Below are 26,584 nucleotides of genomic sequence, written 5' to 3'. Positions count from 1 at the left end.
CTCTCTCTGGTGAGGATTTGTGCTGACTACCATGCCCTACAAACCTAGGTCAAAGTTAAATTTGCCCCATGTAACCTTTTTAGATATGCAGGTAACTTGAACTCGGACTCCAAACTGGCATGAGGACTGGCTCTTAGCCACACATTCTCAGAAGAGACTCTTTCCTCCAACCTGAGCCAAGGCAAGATACACACATTGCTCTGCTCTCTGCTTTTTCAGATAAATATCAGTTTTTCTTTTGGGGGGGATGGAGTTTCACTCTTGTTGCCCAGGGTGGAGTGTAATGGTGTGATCTCAGCTCACCGCAACCTCTGCCTCCCGGGTTCAAGCAATTCTCCTGCCTCAGCCTCCCGAGTAGCTGGGATTACAGGCACCCACCACCACGCCCGGCCCTTTTTTTTTTTTTTTTTTTTGTATTTTTAGTAGAGACAGGGTTTCTCTCTGTTGGTCAGGATGGTCTCGAACTCCCAACCTCAGATGATCCACCCGCCTCGGCCTCCCAGAGTGCTGGGATTACAGGTGTGAGCAAATATCATTTTTTCTAATTCACCCTTTCTCTGAGGGCAAAACTCTTTATGGTTCTTGGTTTAGGGGAATCTTCATTCTAACTCCCTGGTTTGAGCCCTAAGCTTTTCTCCTGGCCTATGTGCCACCTTCTTAAAACTAGAATCCGGCCAGACATGGTGGCGCAAGCATATAATGCAAGCACTTTGGGAGGCAAAGGCAGGTGGATTACTTGAGCTCAGGAGTTTGAGACCAGCCTGGGCAACACAGTGAGACCTCATCTCTACTAAAAATCAAAAAAATTAGCTAGGCATGGTGGCACAAGTCTGTAATCCCAGCTACTTTCAGAAGGCTGAGGTGGGAGGATCACTTGAGCACAGGAGATCAAGGCTGCAGTGAGTTTGATCACGCCACTGCACTCCAACCTGGACAACAGAGCGTGATTCTGACTCAAAAAAATATAATAATGGCTAGGCGTGGTGGCTCATGCCTGTAATCCTAGCACTTTGGGAGGCCGAGGCAGGCGGATCATGAGGTCAGGAGATCAAGACCATCCTGGCTGACACGGTGAAACCCCGTCTCTACTAAAAATATGAAAACAAAATTAGCCGGGCATGGTGGCAGGCGCCTGTAGTCCCAGCTACTCCAGAGGCTGAGGTGGGAGAATGGTGTGAACCTGGCAGGCGGAGCTTGCAGTGAGCCAAGATCGCACCACTGCACTCCAGCCTGGGTGACAGAGCGAGACTCTGTCTCAAAAATATATATATAATAATAATAATAAGAAGAAGAAGACTAGAACTCTGGGCCACCTGGGCTTAGTAGATACTCTTAGGGGCAACTGATACCCTAAGCACTTGCTTACCTCCCTAGCTGCAGACTTACTTTGGTCTGGCTCCAGAAGATTTCTTTTTGCAAACTAAATAATATGTTTTGGCCGGGTGCAGTGGTCTGTAATCCCAGCACTTTGGGAGGCCGAGGTGGGTGGATCACCTGAGGTCAGGAGTTTTGAGACCAGCCTGGCCAACATAGCTGAAACCCCATCTCTACTAAAAATACAAAAATTAGCCAGGTGTGGTTGTGGGCACCTGTAATCCCAGCTACTCAGGAGGTTGAGGCAGGAGAACCGCTTGAACCCAGGAAGCGGAGGTTGCAGTGAGCCGAGATCATGCCATTGCACTCCAGCCTGGGCAACAAGAGTGAAACTCCGTCCCAAATAAATAAATGAAATATTTTTAAAGGTGTTCTTGTTTAACATTCTAACAGGCTTCATATCAAAGTAAATACTTTCTAAAATTGAGTCTGCCATATTGCCAAAAAATAGAAGTCTACAAATTCTATCTCTTCCTAGCCGTCTCACAAATCCAAAACTTCAGTAGTTACTGATTCCAGTACCATATCTAATTTTCCTTCAACATTTTTCTTTAATGACACTACCTCCCATCCACCTATTTACAACAAAAAATTGAGCAAAGCTCCTTCCTCCCTCAAGCGTTCACATCTTAGTATAACTCTCATTGATTCTAAGTTCTAAATATTTCTTAAATTTGTTCTCTCCTTCATTCTAGCTACAATTGCCTTCACAATTCATTATTTCTTTTCTGGGTCACTAAAATAATCTGTTTCCATGCTTACCTCCCACAAATCCATTCTTTACATAGCTGTCAGCAAAACCTATTTAAAATAAAAATTGGATCATGCCGTTTGCATAATTAAGTCTTCAGTAACTCCATATTGCTGTCAAGATAAAGTCGCAGGCCAGGCACAGTGGCTCACGCCTGAAATCCCAGCCCTTTGGGAGGCGGAGGTGGGTGAATCACTTGAGGCCAGGAGTTTGAGACCAGCCTGGGCAACAGAGCAAGACCCCATCTCTACAAAAAATACAAAAATTAGCCAGGGATGGTGGCATGTGCCTGTAGTCCCAGCTACTCAAGAGGCTGAGGTGGGAGGATGTCTTGAGTATGGGAGGCAGAGGTTGCAGTGAGCCAAGATCGCGCCACTACATTCCAGCCTGGGCCACAGAGTCAGACTCTGTCTCAAAAAAAAAAAAAAAAAGATAAAGTTTCAATTACTTATCGTGGCATATAAGGTCCTCTACAATCAGTCCCTCCCTGTGCTGGGTCATACCAAACTACATATCATCTTTTGCTTGATCTGCCATCCTCCAGTCAACCCTACACCTCATCCCAGCTTCCCCAGCCACTGTCAGCTCCTTATCTTTCAAAACCCAGGTTACAAATCTTCTCTTCCAGGAAACTTGCAGGCAAATCCTTACTGCACCCTTTGTTACATCACAGCGCATGACGTGCTTCACCATCACTGCACTTACTACACCGTATTGCAGTCATTCTTCTGTTGCCCCAATTAGACTATGAATTCCCTTCAAAGGCAGGTAAAATTTTATCGTTATCCACAGTACCTGGCACAGTGCTGATTACATGAGGTACTTAGTATCTATCAAATGAATGAATTAATGTTTTTGACTTCTACAATACCTTTTGAGATTGACTCCTACTTCCACTGCTACTCTCAAAGTTCAGGCCCTTTATTCTGTCTCTATCCCCTCACATGTCCTTCTACCTCTAGCTTATTAACCCACCTAATGGTACCCAAATTATTTCTAAAGCACAGTTCTGATCATGTCCTGCTTACCGTCAGAAACTACTATTGCTGTTAGCCCTTGGATTTTTTTTTTTTTTAAAGAGACAAGATTTCACTCTGTCACCTAAGCTGGAGTGCGGTGGTATGATCATAGCTCATTGTAACCTCAAACTCCTGGGCTCAAACAATTCTCCCACCTCGGCCTCCCAAGTAGCTAGAACTACAGGCACATGCCACTGCCAGTGATGCCCGGCTAATCTTTTTTTTGTTTTATTGTATTTTTGTAGAGACAGGGTCTTGCTATGTTGCCCACGCTGGTTTTAAACTCCTGGCCTCAAGCAATCCTACTGCCTCAGCCTCCCAAAGTGCTGGGATTACAGGCATGAGCCACAGCACCCTTCCGGAATCTTGCCTCATTTTCCAGCAGCTCACAGCAACCTACTGACTTCCCAAAGACAGCTCAGCTCCATCCTAATGACCAAACCAGCAGGGACATGGGGCAGGCAGTGCCCAACCAGCCTCCACTCCAACTTCGTTCACCATCTAATGAAGCTTATTAGCACTAGACAGCCTTGTATATCTAGGATCTGATGGTACTAGAGATAGCTATGGATTCCCATATTATCCAGAGTCACTGCCATCCCCATTTTGACTTTATGGAAGACTCCATTTCATCACTCCACTCTACAGCAGCAGTATACTGAGAGCTAGGGAAGGGAAGGAATGACACTACAAGGTGGGGAGGGGATCGTCTATAGAGAATTTTAAAACAATAAAATTGACTTTTAGTCCATTTGTTTTTTATCATCATCAAGCATCAGCAATTCTAAACAATGTCAGAATATTGTTTATATATTCTCTCCCACCAGGGTGGACTGGTCCCACCACCACTATCTGTTGGTGTGCCACTGCTATTCAGGCATCACCCTCTTTTGAAACCTTTTACCCACCCCAAAACAGAATTAATCACCTCTTCCTAAACCCTAATGCACACTTGAGTCTCTACAAGACCACAGGCACATCAAGGAGAGCATGTCTTTAACCCCTAGTACACATTCATAAACACATACTCTTCCTTTGCCTCAGCTTCCCAGTAAGGTCCTTGGTGAGTAAAATGTGCTTAGTCCCAGTTACTCTATATTGATAGAAGACAGCATCATGCCTTACACTCAACTCTTAGACCAGACTAAATACACATAGAACATAATATGAATTCCAAAGGCTGGTATTCACAGAACACCATAATCTGGACATAGTTCTTATTCCTAAATACTAAACCTTATACTCTGTTTATACCAAATTACTTATACACTTGGTATTTTTCTGCCTATTACAAGTCCTTTTTGTTTTCCAGTACTTTGTGTCTGATTTACCTAACTGCTAAGCCCCAGAAGAAAATTTAAACACTCAATTTTGGCTGGGCGGGGTGGCTCATGCCTGTAATCCCAGCACTCTGGGAGGCCAAGATGGGTGGATCACGAGGTCAGCAGTTCGAGACCATCCTTGCTAACACGGTGAAACCCCATGTCCACTGAAAATACAAAATATTAGCTGGGCGTGGTGGTGGGTGCCTGTAATCCCAGTTACTCGGGGGGCTGAGGCAGGAGAATGACATGAACCTGGGAGGCGGAGCTTGCAGTGCTCCGAGATCACGCCACTGCACTCCAACCTGGGTGACAGAGTGCGACTCCGTCTCAAAAAAAAAAAAAAACCCAATTTTGTTTTCATGCTGTGGATGCAATGGACACCTAATTCTAATGAATAAAACTACTGATAGCTAATATATAAAAGCATAGAAGACACTTTTATTATATAACATTTTATTTAAAAAAATTATTTTCATAGAATACATTTTCACATTAGAGATTCCCATTGTGCGAAAATAACAATTTATTACTTATAGTTTTATATTTGTGGACAGATTGTTTTAGAACAAGTAGAATACATTTGGGAATTAAATCTCAATTTACAGTTGGTAGTATTTTGATACATCTACAGGGAAACTTGCCCTTAAATGGAACTTCTGTATATTCAGAAGCACTCCAAGCGTTTCTTCCTAGGATTTAGAAATTTATAATATGAGCTATCAGCATTTCCTAATTTTAAAATTTCCCTAGTATATGTAACCATCAGTAGGTGGTATCTACTGTCTAGAGAGGGAAGTTTTCGAAAATTAAACACTGTCTAATTTTCTGCAAAGTTTTTATTCATGAATTAAGAGTATTTCCCTTTGTCCATTATTCCCAAGGCAAATATGGAAGTTTGATCATATACTAATCGTAATAAAGTTGGATTCTCTTTAAGAGATTGATAAATTGAAAGGCAAAAGCTGATATATCATGTTTAGTTATACTGTGAGTCTTATAAGAAGCTGGGAGGCAACCCCATTAACTCACCAGAATATAGAACTCAGTCTCACAACTTAGATATAATTCCTCTCAAACCTTTTCCTCAAAGATTAAATTCTGAAAATAATCTTGTGATTAAGAGAAGAAGGCTGTCCACCAATGGACTTATCTGTTATTTCTTCCTTATTGTGAGCTTAATGGCATGACAAAGCAGAGGCAAAGAGGCATACATCAATTCTTCAAAGTATGAAGTCAAAAAGGTCAGAGCTTCCACAGCATGGCAACAGCTTTGCAGATGCCCACATCGTGATAGTTGAAATAGCAAAGCCCAGCAAAGGTTAAAGCTGAAAGTGCCAAAAGCCCTGCCTTGGCAGCTTTCTGCAAGGCATCCCCATGAACATAGTCAGTAACAACTTGTCCAAGGCCCCTAAAGAAAAAGAAAAAATCATAACATCAATAAAAAACCACAGTGAAATTAGAAGACTATACAGATAACTTGGCTGCAAAAAAACAATCTGTCAAGTTCAAATGCAATGTCTCCATTTGCCACTCCACTGTCACTGTTTGCTTCTTTAGGGGATTCTGTATAGCCTTTTGCGTGTGTATGTCAGTAAGTCTATTTCTAGTGACTTTTCTTTAGAGACAAAGTCTTACTCTGTTGCCCACGCTGGAGTGCAGTGGCCTGATCATAGCTCACTACAGCCTCGAACTCCTGAGCTCAAGTGATCCTCCTGCCTCAGCCTCCCAAGTAGCTGGGACTATAGGAGCATGCCTCCATGCCCGGCTAATTGTTTTTTATTTCCTTCTATTTATTTATTTATTTATTTATTTATTGAGACAGAGTCTCGCTCTTTTGCCCAGGCTGGAGTGCAGTGGCACGATCTCGGCTCACTACAACCTCCGCCTCCCGGGTTCAAGTGATTCTCCTGCCCCAGCCTCCCAAGTAGCTGGGACTACAGGCGCCCACCACCACACCCAGCTAATTTTTGTATTTTTAGTAGAGACAGGGTTTCACCATATTGGCCAGGCTGGTCTCGAACTCCTGACCTTGTGATCCGCCCACCTCAGCCTCCCAAAGTGTTGGGACTACAGGCGTGAGCTACTGCGCCTGGCCTGTTTTTTATTTCTTTAAAGATGCGGTCTCACCATGATGCCCAGGCTGGTCTTGAACTCTTGGCTGCAAGTGATCCTTTCACCCCAATAACTAAAAATAACTAAAACTCTACAGTATTTTTAATTAATTCAAAAAGAATTTATTAAGTAGATATCATGTGCCAGAATCTGTCATAAATGTTGGGAGTATAGTAAGTGAGACAGCATCCCTACCCTTATGGAATATACTAGTGAATGAGAAGGAAAAAGTAAATATATATGTACTGAGAAGAAACACTTTAGAAAGGAAGACATGAATGAGAACATCCAAACCAAAGTGGCATCTCTAATGAATAGTAAGATTTGTGTGGCTGGAGCACATGGGTGAAGCAGAGATCAGAGGAAGGCAGGGGTCGGTTGCATAGGGTCTTGAAGGTCATGATAAGGAATCTGAATTTTATATGAAATATAATAGGAAACCACTGATACATTTTAAGCAGGGAGTGCCTGAGATTAGGAGTGACCTAATTTTACTATTTTTATAACAGTTTTATTGCAATGTAAGTCAAACGCCAGAAAAAATTCACGCTTTTTAGTATATAATCCACTGGTTTTTAGTATATTGAGTTGTGCAATCATCATTTAATTCCAGAACATTCTCATTACCCCAAAAAGAAACCCTCTACCTCTTAGCCCACTACCCAACTACAAATTTACTTTCTGTCTCTATGGCTTTGCCTGTTCTAGACATTTCATATAAAAGAACCCATACACCACTGGGCGTGGTGGCTCACACCTGTAATCCCAGCACTTTGGGTGGGTGAAGTGGGCGGATCACCTGATGTTGGGAGTTCAAGACCAGCCTGACCAACAAGGAGAAACCCCATCTCTACAAAAAATACAAAATTAGCCAGGCGTGGTGGCACATGCCTGTAATGCCAGCTACTTGGGAGGCTGAGGCAGGAGAATCGCTTGAACCCGAAAGGCGGAGGTTGCAGTAAGCTGAGATCGTGCTGAGCCGAGATCGTGCCGAGCCAAGATCGCACCATTGCACTCCAGCCTGAGCGACAAGAGCAAAACTCTGTCTCAAAAAAAAAAAAAAAAAAAAAAAAGCCATACAATATATGGCCTTTGTGTCAACTTAGCATAATGTTTTCAATGTTCATCCATGTCATAGCATTTATCAATACATCATTCCTTTGTATGGCTGAATAATATTCTATTGTATGAATACACCATATTTTGTTTAGCTATTCATCCACTGACAGCCATTTGGATTGTTTCCACTCTTTGGCTATTATAAATAATGCTGCTATGATCATTCCTGTACAAGTTTTTTGCGTGGACACGTTTTCAGTTCTCTTGGGTATACACCTAAAAGTAGATCGCCGAGTCAGATGGTAACTCTAAGGTTAACTTTTTGTTGTAACTGCCAGAATGTTTTCCAAAGTGATTGAAACGTTTTATATTCCCAGCAGAACCACGAGGGTTCCAATTTCTCCAAGTCCTCAGCAACACTTAAAACTGCCCATCTTTTATTACAGCCATCCTAATGGGGTGTGAGGTGGCATCTCATTGTGGTGTTGATTTGCATTTCTCTAATGACAAATGATGCTGAGCAATTTCTGATGTGCTTATTGGCCATTTGTATATCTACTTTGGAGGAATATAATTTTACGTTTTAAAAAGGTCACTATGGCTGTAGTGTGATGAATGAACAGAGTGGGTGGGGGACAGAGCAACAACTGAAGAGGAAACTAGTTAGAAGGCAACCGAAGTAGCCTACGTGAGACTGTTGTCTTAACCTAGGCTGGTGACAGGGTGCAAAGTGACAATTCAGACTATTTTTTTTTCTAATAATGTCCATTTTCCTTTTTTTTTTTCTTCTTTTACTTTAAGTTCTGGGATACATGTGCTGAACGTGCAGGTTTGTTACACAGGTATACATGTGCCATGGTGGTTTGCTGCACCTATCAACCCGTCATCTAGGGTTTAAGCTCCGCGTGCATTAGGTATTTATCCTAGTGCTCTCCCTCCCCTTCCCCTCGACCGATTCAGAGTTTTGTTTTTTTGAGACAGAGTCTCACTCTGTCACCCAGGCTGGAGTGCAGTGGCACGATCTTGGCTCACTACAACCTCCACCTCCTGGGTTCCAGCGGTTCTTCTGCCTCAGTCTCCCAAGTAGCTGGGACTAAAGGCGTGTGCCACCACGCCCAGCTTAATTTTTGTATTATTAGTAGAGACAAGGTTTCACCATATTGGCCAGGCTGGTCTCAAACTCCTGACCTCATGATCCGCCCGCCTCGGCCTCCCAAAGTGCTAGGATTACAGGCGTGAGACCACGCCTGGCCGATTCAGACTATTTTTTAAAGAAAGAACAGAACTGATGGAATAAGTGGGGTAAGAACAAAAAGAAATATCTAGAATGACTCCTAAGAATTTTAGTTTGAGCATAGCTTTGAGAAGGGGGTTTTAAAGGAGAAATCAAGGGAGATTTGGGGGGAAAAAAGAGCGATTTGGCCAATGTTAGATCTGGGATAACTATCAGACATCCAAGTGGATGTCAATTAGACAATTAGATAAACAAGTCTGCAGCTCAGAAAAACAGGTCAGATCTGAGCTCACCTAAAAAAGGGTACAGATGGAGAAATTAAGAAGGCCATGACTCAGCCCTGGAGATTTTGTCATCTCGAGGTCAGACAAGAGGAGAAGGATCTGGCAGAGGAGACTTCTATGCATCTGGAAAGCCAAAGAAAAGTGACTTATGGGGAGAATTGTTAATTGAGTTGAAGGCGGCTGAGACTTCAAGCAAGTGGAGGGCAGAAAATAGACAACCGGATTTGGAAAGATGAAGGCCTTCAGTGCCCTTGGTAAGAATAACCTAAGTTATATAGTTGGGATAAGACCCCAATTAATACAGGCTAAAAGAGACTCAGTGTTGAGGAAGTGGAGCACATTATAGACAGCTCCTTCAAGAGGGATGACATGTTAGAGAAATATTACTTACTGTACTTGTGATCTAATATTTCATATGCAACTGGAATCTTTTATTTGGAAAGGTCTGTGTGGTTAAAAAACAACATCAACAACAACAACTCATTCTCCTAACCAGTCCTACAAAACCAGATAATTAAAACCCCTTTAGGCTGGGCACGGTGGTTCACACCTATAATCCCAGCACTTTGGGAGGCCAAGGTGGGAGGATCACTTGAGGTCAGGAGTCCAAGACCAGCCTGGACAACATGGTGAAACCCCGTCTCGATTTAAAATACAAAACTGAGCCAGGTGTGCTGGCGCATGCCTGTAATCCCAGCTGCTTGGGAGGCTGAGGCATGAGAATTGCTTGAACCCAGGAGGCAGAGGTTGCAGTGAACCAAGATCACACCACTGCACTCCAGCCTGGGTGAGAGTGAGACTCCGTCCCAAAAAAAAAAGAAAAAAAAAATCTTTAACACTAGCTAGAAAATGATTCTGACAAGTCACTTAACCTCCCTGGGTCTTAGTTTCCAAATCTGTAAAATAAAAGAGTTGGTTAAGATACTCTCCAAAGTACTTCCAGTTTCAACAATCCGAAAGTGGCTCCCTACCCCCCACAATGACAACATATTGTCCCTTGCAAAACTTAAAAAGAACAACTCAAGGAACCCAACCTGTCATTTACCCTCATTTTAGAAGGTTCATTACGTAGAAAGTCATACAAACTATACCAGATAAAATAAACAAAAGCTGGGCCGGACATGGTGGCTCACGCCTGTAATCCCAGCACTTTAGGAGGCTGAAGCGGGCAGATCACCTGAGGTCAGGAGTTCCAGACCAGCCTGGCCAAAATGGCGAAACCCCGTCTCTACTAAAAATACAAAAAAATTAGCCGGATGTGGTGGTGCACGCCTGTAATCCCAGCTACTTGGGAGGCTGAGGCAGGGAGAATCGCTTGTACCTGGGAGGCGGAGGTTGTGGTGAGCTGAGATCACACCATTGCACTCCAGCCTGGGCAACAGAGCGAGACTCTGTCTCAAAAAATAAACAAACAAACAAACAAACAAACAGGCGCTGGATGCTCATTCATTCAGCAAGTATTTACTGAGTGCTATATGTCACGTACCAGAGAGTAGTTCTAGGCTCTAGAGGCACAACAGCAAACAAATACAGTAAAAATAACAAAATAATCCACCCACATACATCTCTTTTTTTTTTTTAAGAGGCAAGAATAAACTATACTATTTAGGGATATACATTTGGGTGATAAAATGCAAGGAAGCAATTACTATATAAAATAATGAACAGATGATGTAGTATATTAGAAGGCAGTAAGTACTATTGAGAAAAATAAAACAAGCAAGAGAGATAAGGAATGGCAGGACAGAAACTGCAATTTTGAATAAGTGGTTAGGGAAGGCTTTGTTGAGAGAATGGCATTCAAGACCTGAAGGAGATGAAGGAACAAGCCAAGTGTATAGCTAGAAAAAGAGTTTCAGGCAGAAGCAGTAAGAGAAGCCCTGAGACCTGGAATGTCCCTGGCATGTTCAAGGAATCTCAAGGAAGGCAGTGTGAATGAGAGAGAGAGCAGCTAAAAATGAGGGAAGAAACAGGGTGGTTCAATCATGTAGAGTCTACAGACAACCCTAAGAATTCTGACTTTGAGTAACATGAAGAGACAAAATAGGGTTTTGAGAAGGGGAATGTCTTATTCTAATTAACATTTTAACAGGATCACTGGGTATGCTGTGTTGGGAATGAACACAAATGGGAACCAGTTAGGAGACTACTACTAGAGTCAAGGATAATGACCAAGTTTGGAGCTTACCAGGTTTAGACTTGAACAAAGAGAAAACTGGAAATGCCATTAATTCAGATGGGGCAAGAGTGCAGGAGGAACAGATTAGGGGAGATCAGAAATTCAGTTTGACAGGCTACATTCAAAATGCTATTAGATACGGAAATCGAATTGAAAGACATTGAATAGGCAGGCAGATATATAAATCTAGGCATATACATATTTTATATATATTTTAAAGTTTTCAACAAATTTAGGGCATTTCAATCAACTTCTCCCTCATATATAATACATAAGACAAGCTCACAGCAAACAAACTGAGCAGACAACTATATTTGGAATTGCTATACTTGCCAGTGACCATGAAGAGTGAGGGCTGCAGCCAGGGAATAGTCCATCGCAGAGCAAGGATTCAAATAAGCAGCCGGAAGCAGACCCAGGAGCAAAACACTGACAACCCTCTCGCTAGTCCAGTGGAGAGATGCAGCCTTGGAGCCAGCTACAAAAAGGACCAGATTCATAAAAGTTGATGTGAGAAACACACATCTTTCATGTTCAACATATGCCACACAGTAACCCAAACTGACAGGCAGTGTACATATAGGATATAACTCTGAGTACAAAGGAAGTAAAATATCAAAATAGTAGTTGAGAGAAGCTATCTCTGTTTTTTGAAGGCTTTATCTCTGTTTTTTGAAGTCTTTTAGCACAAGGGTATCTCAATGCCTACATATTGATTAGAAGACAGATCCAAGAAGATGGATAAAAAACAGAATTGCTGTATTGCTACAGAATTAAGCCAGTCTTGGTTCAGTGAAGTGAACAGACACCTTATGAATGTAAGTTAGTGGTCCAGGCGTGGTGGCTCACGCCTGCAATCCCAGCACTTTGGGAGGCTGAGGTGGGCAGATCACCTGAGGTCAGGAGTTTGAGGAGGTCAGGAGTTTGAGACCAGCCCGGCCAACACGGTGAAACCCGTCTCTACTAAAAGTACAAAACTTAGCTGGGCATGGTGGTGGGCGCCTGTAATCCCAGCTAGTCGGGAGGCAGGGGCAGGAGAATTGCTTGAACTCAGAAGGTGGAGGTTGCAGTGAGCCGAGATCGCACCACTGCACTCCAGCCTGCATAACAGAGCGAGACTCTGTCTCAAAAAAAAAGAAAACAAAAGAAAAAAATTTGTAAAGACTTAGGCTAGAAGGTCTTCTATGATTATAAATGGCATCATTCAACCATAATGGCACTGTCTGCCCAAAGGTGTAAACTAGGTCTTCATTTGACAAAGTTGGACACAAGAGTCCCCCCTACAGGTAGGAAGTCCTGCTAAAGGCATGACCATTAGTGAAGGTAAAGATGGCTAGAGCCCAGAAAGCAGCAGCGATGGAGAGAACATACAATGGTGGCTCGGTGACAAGTGTATGTGCTGCACTCCACACCATTCTGGGATAGGTCGGTCCTGAAGAAATGCTGAGATATGAGCAGGTCTGACCACTGGAGTTCGAAGCAACAGAGCTGAGGAAAGAGTCATTAGGATGATCATAAGAACCTCTCCTTTAACAGGACTGACAAACTTTCTAAATGACCATAGGTAAGCTACTTAACAATAAATAGGGGATAACATCTTATTTGTAAAATGAAGATAGCATCTATTTCACTGGGGTTACTGTGAAGTTAAGACCAGGGAACATCTGCATGTTCCCTACTTTATTTAATGACACCTCAGGCATTCTTTAACCTAACTCAGTAATCTGGAAATCATGAGAGACTTTTCCCCTAAATTCAATCGCCAAATCCTATTGGCGTATCTCTTTAACAGTTCTTGAGACAATCTTCTTTTCTTTGTGCTACTTTCCTAGTTCAGGACCTCATCTTGCCCGGACTACTATGACAGTGTTTTCCTCATCAGAATGAAAGCTCGTTGAGGGCGGGAACTACGTTTTCTTCACATTTGTATCCTAGCATTACTACAGTACCTGAGGTAACACAAATGCCCAGGTTAAATGATTTTCGAACTGATCCCCCCTCCACTCCCACATCCAAACACACCAACTCCAGAAGAAATGGGCAAGCTCCTAACCCTCTTTCCCGACTCAGGGTGGGAGCGAGTGGGGAGCATTCTAGGGACAGTGAACGGGGAGAAAACAGAACTGCTATGTGGATTAGCCTCATCAGGACTGCGACTTCCAGAGGGAGCTCTCTTTCTGATTATTCCCTCAACTCGTCAGCTCACAGCAAGTGAAATATACCTTCGGGTAAACATCTGGACCCCTAGACTACAGTGGTCATTGCTGTGATTTCGGTATTTTCTTCTCCTCAAGAGATCTCCCACCCGGCAGATGAGTCCTCACTTCCATCCCCTTCCCTGGCTGGAGGCTACGCTAAGCACCTCAGGGTGGGAAGACCCCTCACCTCGGCCTCCTAGGGCACCGCAAACGGCACTCAGCCTCCAGAGAACCGCCATCTCGTTCCTGAGGGCTCAAGGTCATCCACCAACCCGGAACCACTTAGGCGACAATTCCCACCCACGACGACGAAAGAAAACAGGGAAGAGGAAATGCTGGGTGAACCGGAAGTCGAGAGGCGGTGCACACCCGTCGCGCATGCGCAAACACAGCTGTCGGAAGGTGGCGAGCCTGAGGCGAACAATGGCGGAGCTGGGCGAAGCCGATGAAGCGGAGTTGCAGCGCCTGGTGGCCGCCGAGCAGCAGAAGGCGCAGTTTACTGCACAGGTGCGGGGACGGGGAGGGTGAAGGGAAAGGAAGTTTCACCTTCCTTGGTGGTCCTGGGCACGCTCGGAGGTCTGTACACTGGCGGCTCACTGGTGCTCGATCCCGGCTGCATCCCATTCCCCTCACGAAAGACAAAGTTATGGCTCTCCTGTCCCTGGTGACCGGTAGTGCTCAGGTGCCAGGTATATAAGCGTAGCGTGGAGAAAAGAAAAGGTGTAAAACAGGGAAGATTTGGGCGACGCAAGGGTACGGGAGACTAGTTAGCCGGCGACATGACTGGGCTGGCATTCGAAAGATCTGGGTTCTCATCCTCCCTCTGCTCCTTGCAGGCCACGTGCCCGTAGAAAAGATACTCATCCACTGTGGGTTTTGGTGTCGCCGTCACCCCACTGCCTCACTGGATTGTGAGGATCATATGCGACAATGTATTTGAAAACGACTAGAACATTATCGGAGGAAGGTGGACTCTGAAGTAGTCGCTGTAGACTATGGATGTAGAACAAGGGTTTGGAGCCCTTCGGACATGGTTCTAACGCGGCCTGACTTCTTGCTGGCTACATGACCTTGGACTACATAATCACGCCTCTTAAATGGGAGGTGATGACAGCTATCCTTGAGGACCTTAGAGAGAACTGATTTCTTAGTACCCAGCCTCACAAATAGTAAGCTCTTGGTAAAATGGTTTTTTCCTTTTGGGTGGGAGGAAGAGGGTGCTCGGATGACCAGCAAGAACCCTGGCTAGAAATCTTTGGGCCCTGAACATTCTAATGACAGTGCACATAATTTCTGTGCCTGTATGTGCATTTTTCTGGGGAGTGGATCCATAACCCCCAAAAGGTTAATGGAAGAATTACCTTGTCTAGGGGATAGGTTTGGAATAAAATGAGTGCAATAGTTTGGGAAAATTAATTGGTTCCCTAGTTGGTTCACAATGGTGCTAGCTACTTTGGGGAATATAAAAGGTTATTAGTCCTACCTGAGAATGTACAATCTGTAGGGACGAGGATCTGGATCAATATTGGTGACTAATTAGGAAATGAAGAAAGAGAAGAGCCCAAAGTGACTCCGTGGTTGATTTAAAGAATGGTTTTGTCAGGTGTCAAAAAGTGAGAAGTTAATAAACAAGAGTTAGGCCTATCTGCAGACCCCAATGGTTACTATTTTTCTTTCCTTTTAGGTGCATCACTTCATGGAGTTATGTTGGGATAAATGTGTGGAGAAGCCAGGGAATCGCCTAGACTCTCGCACTGAAAATTGTCTCTCCAGCTGTGTAGACCGCTTCATTGACACCACTCTTGCCATCACCAGTCGGTTTGCCCAGATTGTACAGAAAGGAGGGCAGTAGGCCATCCCCCAGGAGAATGACAGAAGCAAAGGACTTGTTACTAAGCAGATTTAAGGGTCAGTGGGGGAAGGCTATCAACCCATTGTCAGATCAGCATCAGGCTGTTATCAAGTCTGTTGGTGCTAAAAAGTAAAAGATGAAATGTTCAAAGAGTGAAATTTATTTATTTGGAATTCAGAAATTCCAGGTTGTATGACATCAGTTACTCAATAAGTGTGAATTCTCCAACTCTTCTTTTAATCCCATTTTAGAATTTAATATAGAGATCTCTGATTGGCAGGAACACTAGAAATAAATGTTCCATGGCCAGTAGTGCAAATGGGGGATTGTAGGTTTTGAAAAACCACCCTAAGCCATATTAAGGGGGTTGGAAGAACCATCGAAGCCTAAGGCATAGAAGAAAATTTGGGGTTAAGAAAGATGAAGAACAAAAAACAGCTTTATTGCTTATACATGACCAAGAAAAGGAAAACATGGCAAAAAAAAAAAAAAAAAGGCAAGATGTGTATTCCTTGCGAAAGAACAAGCCTGCTAACTTGGGAGGAAGGGAAGGTCAGGACCCAAATAGAGCCAATTTCCTGGAGATGGCCTGTTCTACTGGCACATTTTCCTGAGTCTGTGCTTAAAACCTTTCAGGTACTTTCAGGGCACAGAAACAATGCATGCTAAAAAATATATGGCCAAAGCTCCTTCCAACAAAGATTTAACTTGCTCCAGGAACAAAATAATTGCTTTAGGTTAAGAGGTAGTAATTAGAGACTATTCTTCTCCCTTTAGACCCCCACTAATCCCAAAAATAAAAATACACACCATGGAACACTGACAATTGAGTACCAAAGTATTAAAATTTAAAATAAATATCCCAAAAGGTAGCACCTGCTCATAGTTAAGGGATAGGGCACCTCTGTCCAACCATGTATTTTAAGACCAAGCACTTTATTAGAAATCTGTCCCGTAAAGAGAACAAATTTAGCAGTTAGAACTAAAAATACCAACTCATGGAATGTCATCATAGTTGTATCTACTGCTGGTGTCTTATACTGTCATGCTACTGTGAAGTAATTCCGTATTACACATCAGGAAAGTAAGGCCAGGAAGGTGAACTTACCTGCTCTGGGCCTCCTCATAACCAATGAGTGGCAGAACCAAGACCGAAAGTCTGAGTTTTCAAGCTTTTTACTCAGCCCATTAAGTGACAACCAGGAAAAAATAATACGTCACTTGATCTTTCTTCCCACAGTGAAAAAATGCACTTGCGTTCTGCCAGCCTTCTTTCAGTGATATGTTGGTTTCTTAAGAATTAACATACTAAGGATCACAGTATAGCAAAGGGAATTAATGTGGTCTCTGCTTGGTGCTTTAATCCAAAGGCAGACTGGGAAGAAGTGGATATGTCCCTGAGAAGCCTGTTTCATTTTGGAAATAATTCAACTTAGTTTCAGGGAAAACCTAAACTTCATGAACAGATTTAGAAATGAACAAGACAACATTTAAATGGCAGTTGCTGCCCTGAATCCAGAGTACCATTAGACAACATGATTATTTCCTAATTCTTCCCCATTTGGTACAGGATTATCTATGACAATTGAAGAAATAATTTGAACACAAGTCCATTTAGGCAAATATACAGCAATGGAACTAGAAAACCATTTACTATCCAATTACCATGTTTAGGCATATACTAAGTATAGCTATAGGCCCCATCCAGCAGGGAAATTTGCAAAAACTCTAGTCCCTTCTAATAAGTTGTCTATGGATGTTATCATGAAGGGAAAAGGTTTGTTCTTAGGCCCATGTCCTGATTAAGTAAACCGGACCACACCTGTGGGGTCAAAATATAGAAGGATCAAAGCACCAAGGCTAAAGACAAGTTAGTTGTGACACCTGCTATATAAACAGAGAGCAATACAGTGTTGCCTTGTCATACCATCCTACATGGCATTAGTTCCAATCCACCTCTTGATCCCAGCCCTTGACTTCCCCAAATTCAATATTCCGATTGGTGTACCCAGGTCACTATTGGATCCAGCTTTCTGGGTCCTTTAATTTGCTGTATATGCACTCTACACTAAACGTAATTAATTGCAAAAAAAAATAATCTCTTCAAGAAACCTTCATAACAAAATACCAGATTCCCTTTTAACAAGAAAAGGGGATCAAGCTTAACGCCAAAATAGAAGACAAGACGTCTGTCAGAACATACAGATGGCACAAGACAGCTCTGACCTCAGGCCCCGTGCTGAACAAGAGTCACTGGCAAAACCACAAGGAGTAAGAACTGTAAATATCCACAGTCATGTGGAAAACAAAAGTGTTTCCCATTTAGTCATCCTCTGAGCTCTCAGCAGACCTTTCATCTGTAGCTACTTTCCAATTTGTGCGTTTGTTTGTCCTCTCCTGTATTTCATTGTTGGCTACAGAGGTATGGGCTTTTTTCTCTCTCTTTTTCCTTTTGGTTTTCTTAGTGTCTCTTTCCTCACTTTCCTCAGAACTGCTGGATGCTGAATCATCTGAATGTGAAGTGTTACTTTCTGCCTCTAAGAATAAAGCAGGTTTTTTGAGAGACTTTTTCCTGGATTTTTTCTTGCGTTTATGTGGTTGTTTCCCTTTCCTTGTACCAGAAGCCCCAGTTTCTTCTGAGAACTCACTCGAGGAATCTGCTGTTATATCTGTGGCTTCCTTTTTGCTTTTCTTCTGTTTTTTGTGTGACCTTTTTTTCTGCTTTTTTTTGTGGGATTTCTTTGACTTCTTGTGTTTGCGGGATTCATGGGTAGATGACTTTACCTGGGGAGATGTTTTCTTCCCGTTGGTAATATCTTGCTGATCACTACTAATAAGAAAAGTTAAAAAATAGAAGCTTTTATGTAAAAAAAAAGCGTATTATTTTAATATTTTGCATTCTAGATTAAAAAATTGAGGTTAACATCTGAATTTTAAATAAGCACTTTAATGTATACTTTAACACTTTAATATTCTCATTGAGTTTTTGTTTCCTCATCTTTAAAATGAAGGTAAAAATTCTAAGCTGCCATACTGAGTTACTGTATGGAATACTATATATAAAAACCAAAATGCTTACAGACATGCCAAACATCAACCAGAGAATGGGAAAACAGGGATCACCTCCTAACTAAATCACCTATTGTTTCTCTAGCTACATTTTTGATGGCAAGTATATTCTTCGTAAAAGTTAAGAAATCAATTTATAATACAGATTTTGTACCATCTTAGTTTCTTTCAGTAAGCCTATTTTCCTTACCTGTCTGTTTCAAATTCTTCAGGGTATAACTCTTTATAACCACTGTGACCCCATCTGTAATATGACACATCACATGTATTGTTAAAGCAATGCATACATTTTTGGAAATTAAAGCAACATTAGAAAGACTTTGGAGTACATGCATACACAAACATAAACACAAAGTAGAGATATGGTAGAACCAAGCCCCCATTATAGCTCAGTAACAGCTACATTTCCTGTACTGTACACTATCACTTCAGACATACAAGATTATTTTGTCCATTTGTAAGAGAACTTGCCATTGCTTTCCTTAAGAAACACTAACGAACTCTTACACTCTGCTCTTTAGCTATGAAGCACTTTTCCAAAAACACTTCATAATATCATGCTGTCTACATGGGGACAATTTTTTTTTTTTTTTTTGAGATGGAGTCTCACTCTTGCCCAGGCTGGAGTGCAGTGGCGTGATCTCAGCTCACTGCAACCTCCGCCTCCCGATTTCAAGTGATTCTCCTGCCTTAGCCTCCCGAGTAGCTGGGACTACAGGCACATGCTACCATGCCTGGCTAATTTTTGTATTTTTAGTAGAGATGGGGTTTCATTATGTTGGCCAGGCTGGTCTCAAACTCCTGACCTCATGGATCTGCCCGCTTTGGCCTCCCAAAGTGCTGGGATTACAAGCATGAGCCACCGCGCCCAGCCTTATTATTATTTTTTTCTTTTTTTCTTGAGACAGAGTCTCACTCAGTTGCCAGGCTGGAGTGCAGTGGTGCAATCTCGGCTCAACTGCAACCTCCACCTCCTGGGTTCAAGTGATTCTCCTGCCTCAGCCTCCCGAGTAGCTGGGACTACAGGCGCATGCCACCACGCCCGGCTAATTTTTGTATTTTTAGTAGAGCTGGGGTTTCACCATGTTGGCTAGGATGGTCTCAATCTCTTGACCTCGTGATCCGCCCGCCTCGGCCTCCCAAAGTACTGGGATTACAGGCATGAGCCACAGCACCTGGCCTATTTTTTTTAAATAACAACTTTATTGAAGTATAATTCACATATCATGGCATTCAAAGTGTAGTGCCTCCAGCCCAGGGCAATCACTAATCTGCCTTCTGTCTCTATGGAATTGCCTACCACATAAATGGAATCATACAGTTATGTATGGACATAGTACATAAATAGAATCATACAATATGCGGTCTTTCGTGACTTGGCTTCTTCCTTCTCACTTAGCATGATGTTTTCAAGGCCACGTTGTAACATGTATCTGTACTTCATTTCTTTTACTGCCAAATAATATTCCATTGTATGGATATATCGCATTTTGTTTACCCATTCATCAGTTGACAGACATTTGGATTACTTGGCCATTATTTTTTGGGGCCATTATTAATAATGCTGGTATGAACTTTTGTACACAAGTTTTTTGTGGGGACAATTAATTTTGATAAGTACACGTTCTCAGGCCAAATATTAATGCTCACAGGAATTAATCACAAACCTGTCTGGCATGTTTGCTTCATAATCATAGAACTTTTTATTCCAGGATTTAGCCTTAAGAAAATCATCTTCCAGTGTCCCAGAAATTTCATTCTTTGGCCTCCAATAGTATCTTTGACTTTCTTCATCAAAACCATCACTGCGCATCCGGCTAAAAGAGAAAGCAGAAGAACTTTTAGATGTAAAAGCAATCTGTGAGTTTACTTTATGGAACATCATGCACAAAACTCATGGAACAAGCTGAGGGGGAAGGAAACAACATGATACTGTTTAAAAAAAAAAAAAAAAAAGGCAAAGACATTATCTGCTCCTCTCTATACATTTGTGAAGTCCAGTGGAAGAAATCTGACCAGGCCTAGTGCAGTAGCTCATGCCTGTAATCCCAGCACTTTGATTATCTGTTCCTCTGTACATTTGTAAAGTCCAGTGGAAAAAAATCTGACCAGGCCAGGTGCAGTGGCTCATGCCTGTAATCCCAGCACTTTGGGAGGCCGGGGCGAGTGGATCACTTGGGGTCAGGAGTTCAAGACCAGCCTGGGGGACATGGTGAAACCCTGTCTCTGCTAAAAATACAAAAAAAGTAGTTAGGTGTGGTGGCACACGCCTATAGTCCCAGCTACTTGGAAGGCTGAGGCAGGAAAATTGCCTGAACCCGGGGAGGCAGAGGTTGCAGTGAGCCCAGATCATGCCATTGTACTCCAGCCTGGGCAACAGAGTGAGACTCCGTCTCAGGAAAAAAAAAAAAGAAAAAAAGAAAAAAATCTGACCATTAGTACCCATCCTATTGCAAAGCATAGAGAGATGAAATCAACTCTGGACTATGTCATGTGATAGTTCACTCGCTGATTCTCAACTAGGAGGGCATGCAAAGAGGGAAGCAGAACATAATCATAGCAAGGGACACTTCAAACTACCCTAGAGATTCTGAAATACACTTCCCTCTGTGCAAACCAGCAACTTACTATAGAGAGGTCCCAATAACAGTGGGAACAAGGTCTAACCCATGGGAATACTGGAGTAGGAAAAAAGTTGAGAACCACTGATCCAGCTTCTGTTTACCATTTCTACTAACTAGCCAGTAAGCTGCTAATCGGTTATCAAAAATTTTTAAGGGGCCAGGTCCAGTGGCTCACGCCTGTAATCCCAGCACTTTGGGAGGCCGAGGTGGGTGGATCACTTTGAGCTCAGGAGTTCAAGACCAGCCTGGCCAACATGGTGAAACCCTGTCTCTACTAAAAATACAAAAATTAGCCAGGCGTGGTGGCAGGTGCCTGTAATCCCAGCTGATTGGGAGGCTGAGGCAGAAGAATTGGCTGAATCCAGGAGGCGGAGGTTGCAGTGAGCCAAGACCACACCATTGCACTCCAGCCTGGGTAACAAAAGCGAAACTCCATCTCAAAAAAAAAAAAAAAAAAAAATTGTAAGGGCCTCCTATGTACCAGGTACTGGTCTAGCTGGCAGGAATATAGCAGCAAATGAGAAAATCACAAGCCCTGCTCCTAAAGAGTTTAAGTATTTCTTATATATGTAGCTCTTACACTTACAAGCGTGTAAGGATCTTCCCAATTATTCAAGCATTCCTAGGCCTCTCCACAAGGAAGATAACTAAGCCTGCATAATCCTTCATATTTACACTCAAGCTATTAAGGTAATGTGAAAAGGCTGTTGATCTGGTGAAGAGGGTGAATAGACAGGGTGAAGAAAAGTCTGAGGCCAGGCAAGTGGCTCATGCTTATAATCCCAACACTGGGAGGTTGAGGTGGGAGGACTGCGTGAGCCCAGGATTCTATACCAGCCTGGGGAACACAGCAAGACACCACCTCTACAAAAAAAAAGTAGCTAGGCATAGTGGCATGCACCTGCAGTTCCAGCTACAAAAAGAAAAGCCTGAAAGAATGAAAGATTAATAGAGAATAGAATGACTGATCAGCTTAGTGACCACAAGATTCCAGTATAAAATCTTCAGTTAAAAGCTATCAGGTAAGGTTAGAATCCACAGAACCCTACACATTCATAATTGTTCAGGTAGAATTTTTTAACTCTCCATTGTAAATAAGTACAAAGAGCAGGGCCATATGCGTCACAGCCATTATCTTTATGCCTGGGTCTAGATTTACGAAAGAAGGAAGGCTTAAGGACTCACAGAACTGAATTTATCCTTAATATACCAAAGTATTTTTAAACAAAAGTTGATGATTCTGAAAAAGATGAGAATTATTTTAGTTCTCAGAGCTGCAACTTCACCTTGAACTGCTGGGTAGCATTTTCCTTTTGGTCCCCCGGTAAGCATCTTCCATCTGTTTTTCCAGTTCTCTTATTTTCCACATATCTGATTCCTCCTGAATCTAGAATTTTTAAAAAGGAAATAAAAATAAGTTACTAAAAATAACTTTACATTACAGAAAAGTAACTAACTGGCCGGGCACAGTGGCTCACACCTGTAATCCCAGCACTTTGGGAGGCCAAAGCAGGCAGATCATGAGGTCAAGAGTTTGACACCAGCCTGACCAACATGGTGAAACCCCGTCTCTAATAAAAATACAAAAATTAGCCGGGCGTGGTAGCATGCACCTGTAATCCCAGCTACTCAGGAGGCTGAGGCAGGAGAATCGCTTGAACCCTGGAGGCAGAGGTTGCAGTGAGCCGAGATTGCACCACTGCACTCCAGCCTGGGCGATGGAGTGAGACTCTGTATCAACAAAAAAAGAAAAAAAAAAAAAAGCAACTAACTGAAAATACAATCTGACTAATTATTGGGCTACAGACTGGGCTATGATCAGGAACCTGGAAAACAAATTGGTTTCTCTAGAAAGTGGCTGAACAGTCCAATCCAGTAAATCTCAAATATGTGGAAATCTTCCCCAATAGAATTTTTAAACCGCTGCACAGACAAACATCACCTTATCAATCTTGCAATTATGCTGCGATTAGCAAATGATAATGCCACATTTCCAAAATGCAATATGATTTTAATTATATCATCTCAATTGAACCTTAAGCAATCTCATGAGGAAAATATAGCAGCTACCATTATTACATTTTACTGTAAAGAAACAAAAGCTCAGAGATTTTAACAAAGTCAAAAAACTAGTAAGGACAGGTCTTTAAACTCCCTAAGCTAAATCTCTTCTGGTAATATTATAATTTTTGTCAAAAATAAAATAAAATAAAATAATCAGTATGGCTGCTAGGGAATTTCTTGAAAAGCAGAATGTGATTACCCAAAGAACACATTTTATTTCTAAGTCTTCCTGCATAATTTCATTAGATCTGTGCTAGATTTATCTTTTTCTAGCTACCATTTTAAATCTAAGCTTACTATATAACTAGGGGCAGGTTAACATAATTGCATAGGCAGCTCGGGTAACAGTTTTACCCTCGCCCATAATTTTAAAAATCAGGTGATATGATAATAATAATATGATCAAACCAAAAGTAGTACAGTTTACTGAAGAAAACTAAACCAGGGGCCTTGGCCCTCTTTTCATTATATGTGCTCTCCTAGGTGACCTCATCTACTCTCATGACCTCTTATCATCAACCTATACATCAATAATCCCGAAACCTTTATGTCCAGCCCCAACTTTTCTCCTCTACTCCAAGTCTGAATTTTCAACTGCTTGGACATCCTATAAGCACCTCACCATCAACATGTTGAAAACCAAACTAATTACCTTTCCTATCATAATTGTCCCATTTTTTGTTCTTTATCTCAATTAACAGAATTGTCATCATCTACCCAGTCACATAGGTGGTTACACAGTTGACCTTGAACAACAGGAATCTCAACTGTGCAGGTCCACTTATCCTCAGATTTTCTTCCACCTCTGCCACCTGTAAGATAGCAAAACAAGTCCCTCTTCTTCCTCCTCAGCCTACTCAATGTGATTTTCTTAATGAAATGTTGTTTTCTCTAGCTACTTTACTATAAGAATACAGTATATAATACATGTAACATAAAAAATATGTGTTAATCCACTGTTTATGGTATCGCTATGGCTTTCAGTCAGTAGTAGGCTATTGGCACTTACATTTTGAGGGAGTAAAAAGTTATACATGGATTTTCGACTATGCAGGGGGTTGATGCCCCTAGCCCCTGCATTGTTCAAGGGTCAACTGAATTAGATTCCATTCTTATCATTATAATCTAATTAGCCACCAACTTCTTTGGATTCTATCTCCTAAATTCCTCTTCTTCATCCCTGCTGTCACTAATTTCATGCGAACCCTCATCATCTCTCACCTGTAATACTGCAATTGCCTCCTAATTACTCTCCCTTCTGTATCTCCCCATCTGATTCATTCCCTACCCAGCTGACAAACCATCTTTCTAAAATATAACTATGATCATGCCACACCCTGTTTAAAAACATTTGATGGCTTCTTTATTGCCTAGAGGAAGAAGTCTCAGCTCCAAACATCACAATCCAACTCTAATTACCACTGAGGCCTTATCTTCTGCCACTATCCCCTACCTTCCCTGCTTTCTGGATAAATTTCTTGCCATGCCCCAAGTGATTAATGCTCTTTCTCGTTGCCATATTAATGCATGATGCTGTCTATCCAGAATGATATTTCATACCTGGTAAACGTATACCTATTCAAGAACCAGTTCAAAGATCAGCAGCTGAAATACCACTAATTCTGTAAAATCTTTTCTAATTCCCCAGTGTAGATTTTATTATTTCCTCCTTAGTGCTCCAAAGCACTTTGCAAATATCTCTGTTATACAGTACTTATCAAACTGTATTATAATTATCTATTTTATTCATCATTTTATTTCCTACTGTGTACGGAAGCTTCCAAAAACTAGATGACAAGAATATTCTTTGTATCTCCCAGTTGTTCCAAAATAATGCTTGGCACACTGCTTGCCTTCAGTAAGCGTTGAGGAGTAACTAGGTTGTACCTCCCACCTTATTGTGAGCATCTGTGTGCCGGATGACATTCCTCAGGAGGACCTTCCCCAGTGGAATCCGGGACATTCTTCAATCTGAAATGAATCAACAAATAACGTTTAGTAATAATTTCTGTTATTACTTTATCTTTTCTTGAAGTTTTATAAAGAAGCATATGAGGTACAGGAAAGATCACTGAACTAGAAGTCAGAGATTCTAAAGAATAGTTTTCCCTTTACCATTAAAAGAGGGAAATGCCTAAACACACTAATGTGAGATGAAAGGAGATAATGTACATTAAAGTTCTTTGAAAATGCACAAGACTACATAAAATTAAGTGCTTTCATGAGCACCATTTTATTTAATCCTCATAACTACTTTTTATATGAGGCAAGTATCTCCATCCCTATTTTGTAGATGAAGTTCCCTTAAAGCTGTAACGTCCCAAGCCACATAGTCCCAGGCAAATGATGTATGTCACTGTCTAAATTAAAAATCAAACCTCCAATCCCAATATAGTTTGCACTGAAGCAAATACGTAGATTTGAGAGTGTCAGGAACCACGGGTGTCAACAGTAACAGAAACTGATTACTCAAAACATCAAATGCAAAGATGTCCTAAATTTCTCCATTTGGGGGCATTTTATTTCCTACTTGCTACGGAAGCTTCCAAAAACTAGATGACAAGAATATTTTCGTGTGTAGCTAGCAGGAGCTTTGTGCAACCACCCCAACGCTCACTCACCCCTTGATCCTGAGGAAATCAGGCATCTTGCTAGTGAGACGAAGAACCACTCCATTACAAGATCTCCTCCGACCCAGGAAGCCAAGGAGTCAGGGCTCAAAGGCAGCTCTGCAGCTTCACCCGAGTCCTTCGTGAAAACGCAGCCTTCCCACTGGTTACTCTGCCCTCACCTGTGGCCCAGGCCACTGCCGCGTTTCCCCCAGCCCAGACCGACAGGCAGATCTCTCTCCCGGACTGAGGCCGGAGGCTGAGCCGGGGCGGAATTCGGACAGCCCGGTTGACCTGGGCATTCCCCGCTCACGCTCCTCTAGGACGAACCCCGGGGGTAAGTTTCACTCCCCAGAAAGGCTGGGAACGCTTTGGATGGCTACGGCCTTCGGTTGGGCCCCAGAAAGTATCTAGGGAGCCTGAAGCGGGGGTTGAGGTTTCCAAGTGGAAGACAGAGGAAATATCCCCATCTTTGTCACCGGGATCCCTGTTCCCCAGCGGCCTCGGAGCTCCCGGTAACCTTCCCTCCAAACGCCCTCCCCACACAAATACACACAAACACACCCATACCGTGCGCCGCAGCCTCGCGTGGCGGGGGGTAGGGGGGAAGAAGTGGTTTGGGAGAAAAAGGAGGAGACTTCCTTTTCAGGCCGGAAGTCGTGCTCCTGAGAAATCGTCCCACCAACAGGCAGCCCAGAGACTCCCACAAGGGAGGGTTTTCAGGACACTCCAGAGGTTGACGGGTGCAGAAGGAAGGCGGGCGCTTTCCTGGAAGAGAAGTGGGTCAGGCCCAACTGAAAAGCAAGCCTGGCACCAGAAGGGGGACATTCC

At 42.5% G+C, this 26,584-nt stretch overlaps 3 protein-coding genes across 17 annotated transcripts, besides 7 other annotated features; 1 reads left to right on the top strand and 2 right to left on the bottom strand.

Moving 5' to 3' along the window:
* Positions 703-911: a silencer, noted in NCBI's record as "fragment chr11:111970495-111970703 (GRCh37/hg19 assembly coordinates)". NCBI's record gives its function as "represses an EF-1alpha promoter that drives an FKBP-Casp9 reporter gene in an ReSE screen in HepG2 liver carcinoma cells {active_cell/tissue: HepG2}" and the evidence as "EXISTENCE:reporter gene assay evidence [ECO:0000049][PMID:32094911]".
* Positions 4,888-13,809, bottom strand: SDHD (succinate dehydrogenase complex subunit D). 5 transcript variants are annotated; one of them, NR_077060.2, is made up of 5 exons: positions 13,723-13,809; positions 12,709-12,825; positions 11,671-11,815; positions 9,550-9,603; positions 4,888-5,877 (listed from the first exon to the last, which is right to left on the bottom strand). NR_077060.2 is itself a non-coding variant. In NM_001276506.2 (5 exons), the coding sequence occupies exons 1-4, from the start codon at positions 13,772-13,774 to the stop codon at positions 7,485-7,487; spliced, it is 432 nt and encodes a 143-aa protein (NP_001263435.1). In that variant the 5' UTR covers positions 13,775-13,809; the 3' UTR covers positions 4,888-5,877; positions 7,473-7,484. The 5 variants fall into 5 exon arrangements, 4 of the variants coding, with proteins under 4 accessions (NP_001263435.1, NP_002993.1, NP_001263432.1 ...); NM_001276506.2 differs by lacking the exon at positions 9,550-9,603 and adding an exon at positions 7,473-7,602; NM_003002.4 differs by lacking the exon at positions 9,550-9,603.
* Positions 12,312-12,845: an enhancer, noted in NCBI's record as "H3K4me1 hESC enhancer chr11:111958561-111959094 (GRCh37/hg19 assembly coordinates)". NCBI's record gives its function as "activates a minimal SCP1, AML or CMV promoter by ChIP-STARR-seq in primed H9 embryonic stem cells {active_cell/tissue: H9 hESC(primed)}" and the evidence as "EXISTENCE:reporter gene assay evidence [ECO:0000049][PMID:30033119]".
* Positions 13,172-14,371: an enhancer, noted in NCBI's record as "BRD4-independent group 4 enhancer chr11:111957035-111958234 (GRCh37/hg19 assembly coordinates)". NCBI's record gives its function as "activates an origin of replication core promoter dependent on BRD2, P300/CBP, MED14 and CDK7 cofactors, and independent of BRD4, by STARR-seq in HCT116 cells {active_cell/tissue: HCT116}" and the evidence as "EXISTENCE:reporter gene assay evidence [ECO:0000049][PMID:35650434]".
* Positions 13,539-13,808: an enhancer, noted in NCBI's record as "active region_5532". NCBI's record gives its function as "activates an Ori minimal core promoter by ATAC-STARR-seq in GM12878 lymphoblastoid cells {active_cell/tissue: GM12878}" and the evidence as "EXISTENCE:reporter gene assay evidence [ECO:0000049][PMID:35858748]".
* Positions 13,926-15,882, top strand: TIMM8B (translocase of inner mitochondrial membrane 8 homolog B). 3 transcript variants are annotated; one of them, NR_028383.2, is made up of 3 exons: positions 13,926-14,042; positions 14,372-14,704; positions 15,220-15,853. NR_028383.2 is itself a non-coding variant. In NM_012459.4 (2 exons), exons 1-2 carry the CDS (start codon positions 13,959-13,961, stop codon positions 15,385-15,387), a joined length of 252 nt encoding a protein of 83 aa, NP_036591.3. In that variant the 5' UTR covers positions 13,926-13,958; the 3' UTR covers positions 15,388-15,882. The 3 variants fall into 3 exon arrangements, 1 of the variants encoding a protein (NP_036591.3); NR_160400.1 differs by having other exon boundaries at positions 14,372-14,715; NM_012459.4 differs by lacking the exon at positions 14,372-14,704 and having other exon boundaries at positions 15,220-15,882.
* NKAPD1 (NKAP domain containing 1) lies at positions 15,532-26,383 on the bottom strand. Of its 9 annotated transcripts, none has more exons than XM_047427197.1 (7): positions 26,324-26,383; positions 25,766-25,795; positions 25,039-25,115; positions 22,367-22,467; positions 20,124-20,273; positions 18,647-18,700; positions 15,532-18,217 (listed from the first exon to the last, which is right to left on the bottom strand). In XM_047427197.1, the coding sequence occupies exons 3-7, from the start codon at positions 25,105-25,107 to the stop codon at positions 17,710-17,712; spliced, it is 882 nt and encodes a 293-aa protein (XP_047283153.1). In that variant the 5' UTR covers positions 25,108-25,115; positions 25,766-25,795; positions 26,324-26,383; the 3' UTR covers positions 15,532-17,709. The 9 variants fall into 9 exon arrangements, 8 of the variants coding, with proteins under 8 accessions (XP_047283153.1, XP_047283154.1, NP_060665.3 ...); XM_047427198.1 differs by having other exon boundaries at positions 15,532-18,214; NR_103469.2 differs by having other exon boundaries at positions 24,998-25,115; positions 25,766-26,383.
* Positions 25,891-25,940: an enhancer, noted in NCBI's record as "active region_5531". NCBI's record gives its function as "activates an Ori minimal core promoter by ATAC-STARR-seq in GM12878 lymphoblastoid cells {active_cell/tissue: GM12878}" and the evidence as "EXISTENCE:reporter gene assay evidence [ECO:0000049][PMID:35858748]".
* Positions 26,001-26,120: an enhancer, noted in NCBI's record as "active region_5530". NCBI's record gives its function as "activates an Ori minimal core promoter by ATAC-STARR-seq in GM12878 lymphoblastoid cells {active_cell/tissue: GM12878}" and the evidence as "EXISTENCE:reporter gene assay evidence [ECO:0000049][PMID:35858748]".
* Positions 26,531-26,580: an enhancer, noted in NCBI's record as "active region_5529". NCBI's record gives its function as "activates an Ori minimal core promoter by ATAC-STARR-seq in GM12878 lymphoblastoid cells {active_cell/tissue: GM12878}" and the evidence as "EXISTENCE:reporter gene assay evidence [ECO:0000049][PMID:35858748]".

Source organism: Homo sapiens, chromosome 11, assembly GCF_000001405.40.
Source record: "Homo sapiens chromosome 11, GRCh38.p14 Primary Assembly".
Lineage (NCBI taxonomy): Eukaryota > Metazoa > Chordata > Mammalia > Primates > Hominidae > Homo > Homo sapiens.
Note: the sequence above shows the minus strand (reverse complement) of the source record. Positions and strands in the feature narration are given on the sequence as shown.

Coding starts and splice junctions, on each gene's coding strand:
- TIMM8B (NM_012459.4), top strand. CDS start 13,959: ATGGCGGAGCTGGGCGAAGCCGATGAAGCGGAGTTGCAGCGCCTGGTG. Junction 14,043..15,219: donor AGGCGCAGTTTACTGCACAG/GTGCGGGGACGG, acceptor CTTTCCTTTTAG/GTGCATCACTTCATGGAGTT.
- NKAPD1 (NM_018195.4), bottom strand. CDS start 25,107: ATGTCCCGGATTCCACTGGGGAAGGTCCTCCTGAGGAATGTCATCCGG. Junction 20,274..22,366: donor ATGCTACCCAGCAGTTCAAG/GTGAAGTTGCAG, acceptor TTTCTCTTTTAG/CCGGATGCGCAGTGATGGTT. Junction 18,701..20,123: donor GAAGCAAACATGCCAGACAG/GTTTGTGATTAA, acceptor GTCATATTACAG/ATGGGGTCACAGTGGTTATA.
- SDHD (NM_003002.4), bottom strand. CDS start 13,774: ATGGCGGTTCTCTGGAGGCTGAGTGCCGTTTGCGGTGCCCTAGGAGGC. Junction 12,826..13,722: donor CGGTGCCCTAGGAGGCCGAG/GTGAGGGGTCTT, acceptor CTCTTTCCTCAG/CTCTGTTGCTTCGAACTCCA. Junction 11,816..12,708: donor CTTGTCACCGAGCCACCATT/GTATGTTCTCTC, acceptor TCCTTTTTGTAG/CTGGCTCCAAGGCTGCATCT.